Source organism: Homo sapiens, chromosome 2, assembly GCF_000001405.40.
Source record: "Homo sapiens chromosome 2, GRCh38.p14 Primary Assembly".
In the NCBI taxonomy this organism is placed as follows: domain Eukaryota; kingdom Metazoa; phylum Chordata; class Mammalia; order Primates; family Hominidae; genus Homo; species Homo sapiens.
The window spans coordinates 170,998,615-171,011,987 of NC_000002.12; the positions used below are offsets into that span (position 1 = coordinate 170,998,615).

Here is a 13,373-nt window from a genome sequence, read left to right on the forward strand (position 1 = left end):
GCAATGCCTCTATTATGGCATTAAACTACAATCACACCAGACCGTGAGCAGCTCAAGGAACTCTTATTCACTGTGCAGTTTCAAGCACTAGCAGTGTCTGAAACACAATGGGTATTCAAAATTACTATTTTAAAAATATGTAAGTCCTATTTATAAGTTCATAATTTTTTTTGATACAGGGTCCAACTCTGTCACCCAGGCTGGAGTACAGTGGTACGATCATAGCTCACTGCAGCCTCACACTCCTGGGCTCATGTGACCCTCGCACCTTAGCCTCCCAAATAGATGGGACTACAGACGTGCACCAGCACACCCAGCTAATACTTTCTTCTTTGTAGTGATAGTCTTGTGCTGTTGACCAAGCTGGTCTCGAACTACTGGCCTTACGTGATCCTCCCACCTTGGCCTCGCAAAGTGCTAGGATTACAGGCATGAGCCACCACACTAAGCCAGTTCATAATTTTTAATAGATGAAGGGTAAAAATCAATTTGTCATCTCCAGTTATAAGTAAAAGATCCATCACAAGGATGCAAGCATCTCACACCTCAAAAATTTAGATAAACTTAAAATTATCAAAACAAATAATGCTGCTCAATGGGAATTTACTATTTTTTTTAAAAAATGCAGTTTTGTATTCACTATGCTAAAATCATTAAGATTTCAGCAAGATGTTGACAGATCTCTTAAAATACACATGAAACTTCCGTGAAGTAAAACCAGCAAAGATAACCAATAACTCATTTGTAATGCAGTAAAAAGCTGGATTTATTTTGTCAATAAAAGTGTGTATTTTACGCAGGTGTCTATGTGTGTAACTGAAACAGGAATAGCTTGTAAAGATTAAGCTATACTCTCTCCAGGCACAAGGTGTATGTATGCAAGGAGAGCAACCACAGAAATTGACGTCAAAGTAACTTGGGAAAAGATGTCCACCAGGATTTAGTGAATTTGAGACCAGAGAGACAAAACTAAATATTTTAAGTTTCTGAGGATGAAAGGTAATTTATAAGAGCAATATTATATGTGTATTCTAAAATATACGAGTATTTATAGTGCTATCCAAATATATCAAATACAGTTGACCCTTGAACAATATAGGGGTTGGAGGCACTGACCCATGCAGTTGAGAATCCATGTATGATTTTTATTTTTATTTTTTTTTGAGACCGGGTCTCACTGTGTTGCCCAGGCTGAGTGCAGTGGTGCGATCACGGCTCACTGCAGCCTCGATCTCCAAGCCTCAAGCGATTCTCCCACTTTAGCCTCCCAATTAGCTGGGACCACAGGCACACACCACCATGCCTGGCTAATTTTTTTAAAAAATTTATACAGACAGGGTCTTGCTATGTTGCCCAGGTTGGTCTTCAATTCCTGGGCTCAAGTGGTCTTCCTGCTGGGATCAGAGGCATGAGTGAGCCCCCATACCTGGCCACATGTCTAACTTTTGACTCTCCCTAAAAAGTTAAAAAGTTAATTACTAGGCTGAGCGTGGTGGCTCATGCCTGTAATCCCAGCACTTTGGGAGGCCGAGACGGGTAGAACAGGAGGTCGGCAGTTTGAGACCAGCCTGGCCAACATGGTGAAACCCTGTCTCTACTAAAAATACAAAAAAATTAGCCAGGCATGGTGGCGGGCACCTGTAATCCCAACTACTTGGGAGGCTGAGGCAGGAGAAATCGCTTGAACCTGGGAGGCAGAGGTTGCAGTGAACCAAGACTGTGCCATTGCACTGCAGCCTGGGTGACAGAGCGAAACTCTGTCAAAAAAAAAAAAAAAAAAAAAAAGTTAACTGCTAATAGCCCACTGTTGACTGGAAGTTGACTTACTGATAACATGAACAGTTAATTAATACATATTTTATATGCTGTATTATATACTAAATTCTTATAGTAAGCTAGAAGAAAAAAACTGCTATTAAGAAAAATCGTAAGAGAAAATCACTATTCATTAAGTGAAAGTGGATTATGACAAAAGTTTTCATCCTTGTCATCTTTAGGTTGAGTAGACTGAGGAGGGGTTAGTTTTGCTGTCTCAGGGGTGACGGGGGAAGAGATGAAAGGGGAGGCAGACACACTCAGTGCAACTTTACAGACATAATTTGTTTTGCTTTTTCATATAGTATCAATCCTTCTTCCACCACTTGCTTTAGTTTCAGTGCCTGTATTATAGAAGGGTCCATGTCATAAAAGTCAAAAGCAATGTCTTGACTAATAGAAACCCTTCTGCCAGGCTGTCTAATGTCAACCTGTTTTCTGGCAGTGCCTCTTCTACTACTACTTTCTCATCTGGCACCAGTTTGGAAGCACTCATCTCCATCAAGTCACCTTAATTCCTCTGGAGGGGTGTCTTTTAGCTCTTGAATTTCTCCAAGATCCATATCTTGAAACCCTTCACCCCACCTTCTTTGCCATATCCACAGTCTCTTTCATGATTTCCTTGACTGCCTCTGTCATAAATCCTGCAAAGTCATATGCAACAACTGGACACGGTTTTCTCTTGCAGCAATGTACTCTTTCAGGCTTGATGGCTTTCATGGCTTTTTCTAAAACAATGATGACATCTTCAGTGGTGTAATCCTTCCAGACTTTCATGATGTTCTGTCTACTGGTGTCCTCTTTAACAGCACTGACAATCCTTTCCATAGAGTATCATGTGTAACGAGCCTTAAAGTTCCTTAAGACCTCTTGATCTAGAGGCTGAATTAGATATTGTTGTGTTTGGGGACTCATGGGCTCCTAGGTGGCCAGGGGCATTGTCCAGTATCAAAAGAACCTTAAAAGGTGATCCCTTATTGGCAAGGTACTTCCTGACTTCAGGGATAAAGCACTGATGGAACCAATCCAAAAAAAGGGTTCCAATTGTCCAGGCCTCCTTGTTGTATAGGCAAAAGACTGGCAGCTGGTATTTATCTTCTCTGTTTGAGGCTCCAGAGTTAGCAGCTTTATAGCTAAGGGCAGTCCTGATCATAAACCCAATTGCATTTGCATAAAACAGTAGAGTTACCCTGTCCCTTCCTACATCAAATCCTGGTGCTCACTTCTCTTCCTTACAAATAAATGTCCTCCGTGGCATTTTTATTTTCCAGAAGAGGGCACTTCTGTCTGCATTAAATTATCTGTTCAGGCAGCTATCCTTTCTCCTCAATTATTTTTTCTTTTTCATTCATTCATTCATTCATGAATGAATGAGACCGAATCTTGCTGTTGCCCAGGCTGGAGTGCAGTGGTGTGATCTCGCTCACTGCAACCTCTGCCTACTGGGTTCAAGCAATTCTCCTGCCTCAGCCTCCATAGTAGCTGAGAATACAGGCATGCACCACCACACCCAGCTAATTTTTGTATTTTTGATAGAGACGGGGTTTCACCGTTGGCCAGGATGGTCTCGATCTCTTGACCTCATGATCCGCCCGCCTGGGCCTCACAAAGTGCTGAGATTACAGGCATGAGCCACCGCGCCTGGCCTCAATTATTTTCTTAATAGCATCTGGGAACTCTTGGTTGGCGGGAGCTGCTTCTCCTGTTATCTTGACATTTTAAAAGCCAACCCTTTTTCTAAAATTATTAAACCATCCTTTACTGGCATGAAATTCTCCAGCTTTAGATCCTTCACCTTCCTTTTGCTTTAAAATGGTCATATCATCTTTTTCTTTTTTTTTACTTTTGAGACAGAGTCTGGCTCTGTCACCCAGGCTGGAGTGCCATGGCACAATCTCAGCTCACTGCAAGCTCCGCCTCCCGGGTTCATGCCATTCTCCTGCCTCAGCCTCCCGAGTAGCTAGGACTACGAGCAGCTGGGACTACAGGCGCCTGCCACCATGCCCGGCTAATTTTTTGTATTTTTAGTAGAGACGGGGTTTCACCGTGTTAGCCAGGATGGTCTCAATCTCCTGACCTCGTGATCCACCTGCCTCGGCCTCCCAAAGTGCTGGGATTATAGGTGTGAGCCACCGCGCCTGGCCTGCTTTTTCTAAAATCACATTACAGTCTGTGGGTATCATGCGCCCAGAAAGCTGCATTTTCTTTGTCCTTTTCTTTTGAGACATGTTCTCACTCTGTTACCCAGGCTGAAGTGCTGTGGTGCAATCTGGGCTTACTGCAATCTCCACATCCCAGGCTCAAGCGATGATCCTCTTGTCTCAGCCTCCTGTGTAGCTGGGATTACAGGTGTGTGCCACCACATTTGGCTAATTTTTGTATTTTTATGCAGAGATGGGGTTTTGCCATGTTGCTCAGGCTGATCTTCATCTCTCAGGCTCAAGTGATCTGATCTGCCTGCCTCAGCCTCCCAAAAGTGCTGGGATTACAGGCATGAGCCACCGTGCACGGCTTCCATTTTCAATTAGAGATAAAAGGGTATTTTGCAAAAAGTACAAGGTTTCGCTGGGCGTGGTGGCTCACGCCTGTAATCCCAGCACTTTGGGAGGCCGAGGCGGGTGGATCATGAGGTCAGGAGATCAAGACCATCCTGGCTAACACGGTGAAACCCCGTCTCTACTAAAAATACAAAAAATTGGCCAGGTGTGGTGGCAGGTACCTGTGGTCCCGGCTGCTCAGGAGGCTGAGGCAGGAAAAGGGTGTGGACCCGGGAGGCGGAGCTTGCAGTGAGCCGAGATCGCACCACTGCACTCCAGCCTGGGCGACAGAGCAAGACTCCGTCTCAAAAAAAAAAAAAAAAAAAAAAAAAAAAAAAAGTACAAGGTTTCTGTTCCTGCTGACATAGCTGCAGTGACAGCTTTACAAATTTCTTTTTTTTAGCAATGATCTTTTTGTTGAATTCATTTATCTTGGAATGGTGGGCAACTGCAGCTGCAGACCTCAATCTATGGTACATATCAAGCAATTCAACTTTTTCTTGTAATGTCATGATTTTTCTCTGCTCCTTGAGAGCACTTCCATCATTACTGGTGTTATTCAAGGTTGACAATATTGCACTAAACATGATGAAAAATATTTGAGAATCACGAGAGATTACTTTTTACTGCGATAGGCCTTTTACTGGAGAGATTAATTGCTCGGAGATTAGCATCACAGTGTTTTAAACAGATACTCAAAACAGTTGAGCTCCTTACAATAGCAACAAGGTGTAGCTACAAAATTATTACAGTACACAGTATGTGGTACAGTTAATTTTATGAAGTTATTATTTAATTCGGCATCTTTACATTTGTTTACGTTTCTCTCAACTGCAAATAGCACCAGGTACAGTCTGTGTTTGTATACGTTTTGATAAATTTTAACTTCTTGTAATAGATTTGTGTACATTTTATGGCAGTAAATGGTAAAACAGACAAGTATCTACATATATTTCACGCCTTCGTGACATACCTTTTTCTTAATTTTTTCAGTATTTTTTTTTTCGAGACGGAGTCTTGCTCTGTCGCCCAGGCAGGAGTGCAGTGGTATGATCTCAGCTCACTGCAACCTCTGCCTCCTGGATTCAAACAATTCCCCTGCCTCAGCCTCCCAAGTAGCTGGGATTCCAGGCATGGCCACCATGCCCAGCTAACTTTTGTACTTTTAGTATTTTTAGCAGAGACGAGGTTTCACCACGTTGGCCAGGCTGGTCTCGAACTCCTGACCTCAAGTGATCCGCCCGCCTCAGCCTCTCAGAATGCTTGGATTACAGGCGTGAGCCACCGTGTCCAGCCAATTTTTTCAATATTTCTAGGCTACATGGTTCGTCAGTGAGATTTTTCAAATTGTTGCAAATCTCCAAAAAATTTTCCAATGTATTTATCGGAAAAAAAAAAGCCACATAAAAGTGGACCCATGCATTTCAAACCTATATTATTCAAGGTCAGCTGTACATAGCTAAACAACTAATATGACTGTAGACATAAACCAATTTTTGGACCACAGATTTCCATGAGAAATACATTCCATGTTCCTATAGAACAATGCCATTATTGTATCTCCTTCCAGTACAGCCCCTGAAACATAAGCTCTTTGTCCCTCGAACATCTGTAAAAGGGAAATTTCCTTGTCCTTCCCTATACTAGTGAAGCCAGAGTGAGAGAGAAACAAATAATGAGAATGTCCTGCAGACGAAGAATAATTTATTGTTTAGAACATGGTTTTCAAGCTATCTTCCATGGAATCTAAGATTCTACCAAGATGCTTTGTTTTTGTTGGTTTTATTAGAATAAGATTTTGTTGTTAAAAAAAAAAATGAGCCTTGTTGCTAAAAGAAAAAAGTCCAAAGACTTTGAGAATATTGACTTTCAGGGGGTTACCAGTTTGAATAGTTTTCTTAAAATATGAAGAAAAAATTCATGACATTATTATCTTATCCATGTTCCTAGGAAATGCCACAAGCCAAATTTAAAATTTGAAAGTGGCTTTAAAAGAATACATGAATATGACTAATCCCTGCTCATTAAAAGTGAAATCTATACAGACAGTGGCATCGTGTGTAAGTGGTTATGATGTGCTCAGTTTGTGTGAATACTGTTCTGGAAAACCTGAAGTCACATTTATGTTTGTAGTCACAATCCTGTTTCAATGAAGTTGAACGCAGTTATCTTTCTTCCATTAAAATGTCACTCTTTATGCTAAACTAATTTTCTCTGAGAACTAAGTTTGTTTTGAAATTTTATAGTTTATGTTCTCCACTTTGGTGAATTTAACAAGTTTGAAAATTCACACTGAAGTAGTTTTTGTGAACACGTAGGTATACTGAGGGGATGACAGTCATTTAGATTTATATCTATGAATCTGTGATTATATCTAAATTTAAATCTAGACATATCAAGTCTTTAAAAGGGATTTCTGAAAGTCAAGTCCAAAGAATATGCCAAATTTATCTCCCATTCACAGCCAACAAAACATCCATCTTCCACAAAAACCACCAGCCAGGTGCAGTGGCTCACGCCTGTAATCCAAGCACTTTGGGAGAGGCAGATCACTTGATACCAGGAGTTCAAGACCAGCCTGGGCAACAAATTAAGACCTGGTCTCTACAAAAAGTTTAGATTAGCTGGGCATAGTGGTGCGTACCTGTGGTCTCAGTTACTCAAGAGTAAGTGGGCAGATCGCTTGAGCCTAGGAGTTTGAGGCTGCAATGAACTAAGATTACACCACTGCACAGGGCAAGACCCTGTCTCAAAATAAAATGAAAATTCCTGCAACCATATAACCTCCACAGAGAGGGCTTGATGCTTGCAGTTTTTGCTTGCAATAGTTAAAATATTATATTAACATAAGTATTTATATTTATGATGAACATCACGCTAACATTGTAGAAGAAAACCCATGAATGAATTCTTCCTGTTAGGAGTTTCTGACTGGCAGGTACTGAAGTCACTTGTTAATGCCAGGTCATTCTCTCTCCAGTATGCTGTTATTTGCAGTTAAGAACAGATGAGAAAAGAGGAATGACCACAGAAGTCTCCCTCTCAACTGAGAGCTTAATATCAGTACCTTTACCACAGTAATCTTAATGGCTACATGGAAATAAAAAAAAAAACACTAAATTATTATAAAAGCACTGGGCACCAATCTAGACATTCTGATGTTTTTAGTAATACACTTACCAGTAAGTGCCTGCCCCCTGGGAAGTTAGATCCATTCCATCTACACCATAGCTATCATCATCCATAATCTTGGACAGACCAAAATCAGTGATTTTGATTTCACCACATGCTGTTCCATCTACCAGTAGGATGTTTCCTAAGAATAAAATATAAGATTCTTTTAATGATACATACATGAAAAACATAACTTTAATAACTTTTAATTTTACTAGTATTTTACTGATGTCTTACAAGAGAAACCAAAAAACATGTTTTCAGATAACTTAATGAATGACTTTTAAAAACTATACTCAAGTTTAAAAAAAATTAGACAAATTTCATAATTACCTGGCTTAAGATCATAATGTATAATAGGGGGTTTGATCTCATTGAGATATCTTAGTGCATTTACAATCTGCATTACAATAGACCGAGCTTCTTTCTCTGACATTAACTTGTGTTGCTTCAGATAGAAATCCAAGTCATTGCCTTCACAGTATTCTAACACTGTACAAAACCTACAACAGAGAAGAGAAAAAAATTAGACATAAGTAATATCCAAGAATTCAGAATCACAATGGGGAAATGGAGAGTATTTATATCATCAACACAGGATGGGGAAAGAGAAAGCAAGCATATCTTTCCTTAAAAATTGAACCTTAATATTCACTTACGTATCTGTATCCAAGGAGAAATAATCATAGAGTTTAACTATTCTGGGGTGATCCAGTTCTTTGTGTATTCTATACTCTCTGCAGGCATGTCTATGAGAAGACAGTGTATTAATTCTCCATGATCATTCAAAAAATATTCAATTTTAAAAAACCATAAAGTATTAGTATTTACTTGTGGTAGTTTTCTTTCTTCTCATCTCTCCAGCTTTTATTAAGCTGATGTATCTTCACAGCAGCATATCTTTGTTCATAAAGGTCAAAAGCCTAGGATTTCAAGTCAAAAACAATTAAGATGAAAGACCAATTGAATAGCTGAAGAGATGTTTTTTATTTTGGTGATAATTTTTGCAATAATATGGAATTAGGACAAACCCTACAATTATTAATGATCTTCTCTGCTAAGACTATATATAGCTCAATGACACTTTTATTATCAGAAGACAGAAATTCCATGGTAATAAATCAGAGAAAACCTTAATGTGAATTTTCACATTAAATTTTATAAATGCCAATATACTGAATAAAAATAAAACAATAAAGCTATTATTTGTTTTTAATATGGACTTATTCCTCTATACTAGTAGTAAGCAGCCAGGAAAACAGATGACTGTACCACTTTTTTTGTAGGTTGGATAAAACCTTTTAAATCTATCTTTTCCTAGCAACCCCCTATTTCTTTCTCACTTTTTAGAAAAATTAAAAAGTTCCTAACAGTTATTTTTCCAACTGTTGAAAAAAACTCGTTATTATAAAACTGTTCAAACATATACACAAGTAGACTACTATAATGTGCCCTTATGCCCCTACCATCCAGTTTCAAAAATTACCAATATGTTGCCATTCTTGTTTCATCTATTCCCTAGTACCCTTGCATCCCACCCTTCCCAACCAGAGTATTATTAAAACAAATACATTATTTCTCCCAGTAAACACATCAGTATTTAAATAAAAATAACCACATACCATTATCACACCTAACTACATCAGTAATAATTCCTTCATCTCATCTAATACCTAACCTGTCTTCAATTTTCCCTGGTTGTCTCAAAAAGAATTTATACTTGATTTGTTCAAATCACCAGCCTATTTCTTAAATTAAAAACACAGAATGATCAGTATTTTAACAGCTTTACATGACTTATGTTTTTTTAAAAAGCAATGAATACCATTAAAGAGACATTTAATAATTTTGGTTCCATTGTGATTTACACACAAAGGTGCCCCTTTCACTTAAAAGCTTACGTATTTATTAGAAAGAAGGTCCCCATTTCCTCCCATCAATTTAACCTAAAAATAAGCAGGAAGGGATAAGCAGTAAAGTGACTACTTTGGTACAAAACTATAAAAGTATGAGATCAGATATAATATAGCACACAGTTGTTAAGAATATTCTGTTTGCAATCAGATTAGCTTATTAGCTGAGTGACTCTGTGCTAATACCCTCTCTGAGCCCCAAAAGTTAGGGTTATTGAGAGGATTAAATGGGGGTAAAACATATGAGGTGTTTAGAATAATACATGGTACGGCCAAGAAACATTAGCTAATTACATATTATTATTAAGGGTTAAGTGTAAAGAAACTGAGAAGAATAAAAATAAAGTAAGTTTATATAAGGGACAAGGCGGAACAAATCTATAAAGAATTCAAGGCAATCATAGTAAAGGATAATTGAAGAAAAAACTAAGCAAGCAATAAAAAGTTATTATCAGAGTATACTGATTATAATAAATTATATGTAACACATCTTCCTCCCAAAATTTCAGGTGAGTAGAAGTATACCTTTCCATAAGGTTAATATGGCAATCACTCAGCAACTGACTCAACATCTCCCATCCTGGTATAAAATACAACTCTTTACTTCTTGACTTACAATCTGCTTTTTGTCTAGTTGTTTCCCAACAGAACTGGCAATCATGAAAGGGCTTTAAAGGGCTTAGAGAATGATGTCACTAGTATTTAGGTCAGTATAGAAAGTTCAAGTCACTGGGCCCCAATCTGCACTTTCTAATCTCTATGTAAGCCTCTTCTACAAAAGTCCTCACCTATGAGGGTAAAATAGTTATTTAAAATACAACCAGGCAGTAGCAGAGGGTTGTTATGAAGGCTCATGGTAAGTTCATAAGCTCAACAACTTTTAGGCCACGCTAATGCTAACTGCACTTTTAGTGACTTTTAGATCCCAGCTGAACTATCATGATAATCTTTTCTACCTTATGGTAAGCCTACTTCACCCATTAAGTGCTTAAGGATAAACTATTATTAGAATCAGAGAAACAGGAATTGGAAGAGAGCCCAAAGATCACTTTTGATGAATGAGGAAGGTGAGGACCCTGACGTGTAATGCTTATCTAAGTTAACAAAAAATAGTGCATGGTTGAACTGATACCAGAACTGAAGTTCTCTTAACTCAAATCCCATAATTTTTCCAAGTCAGAAGCAGAAACGAGAAGGGTGTAGTCTTTGTCCCATGCAACAGTCAGGATTTCTTTTCCTTTTTTTTTTTTTTTTTTTTTTTTTTTTGAGAGAAAATGTCTCCCTCTGTCCCCCAGGGTGGAGTGCAGTAGCACAATCTTGGCTCACTGCAACCTCCCACCACCAAGGTTCAAGCGATTATCATGCCTCAGCCTCCGAGTAGCTGGAACTACAGGCATGTGCCATCATGCCTAGCTAATTTTTTTCTTGTATTTTTAGTAGAAACGGGTTCGCCATGTTGCCCAGACTGGTCTTGAACTCCTGAGTTCAGGCAATCTGCCTGCCTTGGCCCCACCAAGTGCTAGGATTACAGGTGTGAGCCATGGCCAACAAGCAGGATTTCTAATAATCTTATCAGCTTATCTCAGCACCTATGTTCTATATGATTTACATGTGATAACTCAGTTAATCACTGCAACAACCCTATAATGTAGGTATTGTTATTATTCTCAGAAGGAGCCAATGAGTCAGACAGGGATTTAAATAAGAAGCCCAAATTAATAAAATTAGTAAATAGCAGTCAGGATTTAAACCTAGCTGTCTGGCTTCAGAACCAAAGCTTTTAACCAACTATGCCAGTACGTAATGAAGCACAAAGGAGCTTATAAAAAGGCACACCAAATCTATCAGAGAAGATGCAGAGGGTCAGGGAAGCTGTTTAGAGGAACTAAAGATGAGCATATAACCCTTCACTAGGACTTCATCCCAAGAGCAAATGGGAAGCTACTGGGGCTTTCAAGTAGGACAGATGATCAGGCTGCCTTTTATAAAAAGTTCACTCTAGTTGCAGTGTACAAAATGACTTGAGAAAAGCAATGCCCAAAAGAAGACAATCAGCTATGAGGTTCCGGAAGAAGCCTTGAGCTAAGAGACAGAAGGGAAGGGTCATGGCTGAATTTAGGAGAACTTAATGACATTAATAATAGCAGGAACTAGGGGCTTATAATATGTGAGGGGAGGGGAACAAAGGGAAAGGAAGAGCATACGATGGTTTTTGTGTTTTTTCACTTGAGGGACCAGGCAGATGAATGGCAATGTTATATACTGAGGTCAGGGAAGTCAGAAGCAGTGTTAAAAGACATTTTAGAGGAGAGGAAGATAACTTCTATTTCAAATGTGAGTTTCCAGTACCTATGAAGCACCCACATGAGGTAAGTCATGTATACAAACATACTTTGAGGTATTGAACTCAGGAAGAAAGTGTGAGCTAGATATTACCTGGGGGTGACACCAAATAGATAACCCAGTGAATGAGAGAGGATAAAAACCTTCTTAAGGGAGAATACAGAATGATAAAAGGGACCTTAGGAATCCAATATTTAAAGGTTAGGCTAAAAGATACAACATAAAGTACAAAAAAAAAAAAAAAGAAAGGCATAAAATAGTGAACATGGGGAGTAAAAATGCTACATTTATACATATGCATTTGAGAAACGGACTTGACATAGGTAGAAATTTGGATAAATTCAGGACATGTTAATACTTCAGACATTTTTTAATTAAGGGGTACAATCTTTCTATAAGTGTACTGTATTAAATGGCTACCTGCCTATCTTGATTTAAATAGCTGTTACTCTTTGTATTGGACTGGTTAATGGTGACTAGGTATCAAATATCACAGGGACTGTGCAGGTGGCAAGGACAGTCTTTGGATTCTGGAAATAAGACAACAGAAGCCACAACAAACCCTTTTTTATAATGAGGACATATAATCAATAAACAAAAGACAAGTACTTCTTTTTTTTGTTTTTGAGACAGGGTCTTGCTCTGTCACCCATACTAGAGTGCAGTGGTGCAATCATAGCTTATTGCAACCATGAATTCCTGGACTCTGCAATACTCCCACCTCAGCCTCCTGAGTAGCTGGGGCTACATGTGTGCGCCACCACACCTGGCTGACTTTTTTTTAAGTAGAGACAAGGTCTCACTATGTTGCCCAGGTTGGTCTCAAACTCCTGGCCTCAGGCACCCTCCCATCTCCCAAAGCCCTGGGGTTACATGTGTGAGCCACCATGCCCAGACAACGTAAGTACTTCTTAACCACATACTCCTATATCCTTGCTACATTAGTGTAAAAAAAACAGAATAAAACATACATTACCTTATACACTTCACTAAAGCCACCTCTACCAAGCAGATGAAGTAATAAATATCTTTCATTTAATGTTGGGTGATCTTTGAACCTTAGAGGTGGGGGCAAAAAACAGACATATTAAAACACACACATAAAAATTCCTTCTACACTGAAGTTCTACTCTCTTATTCTATTCCTAGCTATTTATTTCTCAGTTACTCCACTGCTAATTTCAAATTTCATTCAATATTTCTTTTCATTCTCTACCAGTCTATCTGCATGACTACCACCCATCTTAAGGCTTTGGCGCTCACAAAACTTTTATAGCTCAATATTCAGGAGCAATGACCAATTATAGCACTCTCACAAAGACCTAATAATTACTGCATTGCCAAGAGCTTCATAAAATCCTTTATGTACTCAGCAAGAATCACTTCTCTGGAAAAAACAGACTTTTATATTGGGAGTTATAATCAAGCTTTTACAGTATTGACATATGATTAAACATAATTATAAACTGGCCTTCATCATTAAATTTTACTGTCTTCGGACTTTTGTAAAATAAATTAACCACCAATTTTAAAAAGATTTTTTAAAATTAAAAAAAAAATCACTCATAGGTAATACTACTACTATTACTAC

The 13,373-nt window shown here is 38.6% G+C and overlaps 1 protein-coding gene across 5 annotated transcripts in view; it reads right to left on the reverse strand.

The window, feature by feature from the left end:
- TLK1 (tousled like kinase 1) overlaps positions 1 to 13,373 on the reverse strand; it is a 240,471-nt gene that overhangs the window by 7,792 nt on the left and 219,306 nt on the right. For all 5 annotated transcript variants that reach the window (NM_001136554.2, XM_017005422.3, XM_011512238.4 and 2 more), the window contains 5 exons: positions 12,759 to 12,840; positions 8,358 to 8,449; positions 8,186 to 8,275; positions 7,860 to 8,029; positions 7,533 to 7,668 (listed from right to left, as the gene is read on the reverse strand). In NM_001136554.2, coding sequence (NP_001130026.1) covers positions 7,533 to 7,668; positions 7,860 to 8,029; positions 8,186 to 8,275; positions 8,358 to 8,449; positions 12,759 to 12,840 — 570 coding nt within the window. The remainder of the gene's footprint in view (positions 1 to 7,532; positions 7,669 to 7,859; positions 8,030 to 8,185; positions 8,276 to 8,357; positions 8,450 to 12,758; positions 12,841 to 13,373) is intronic.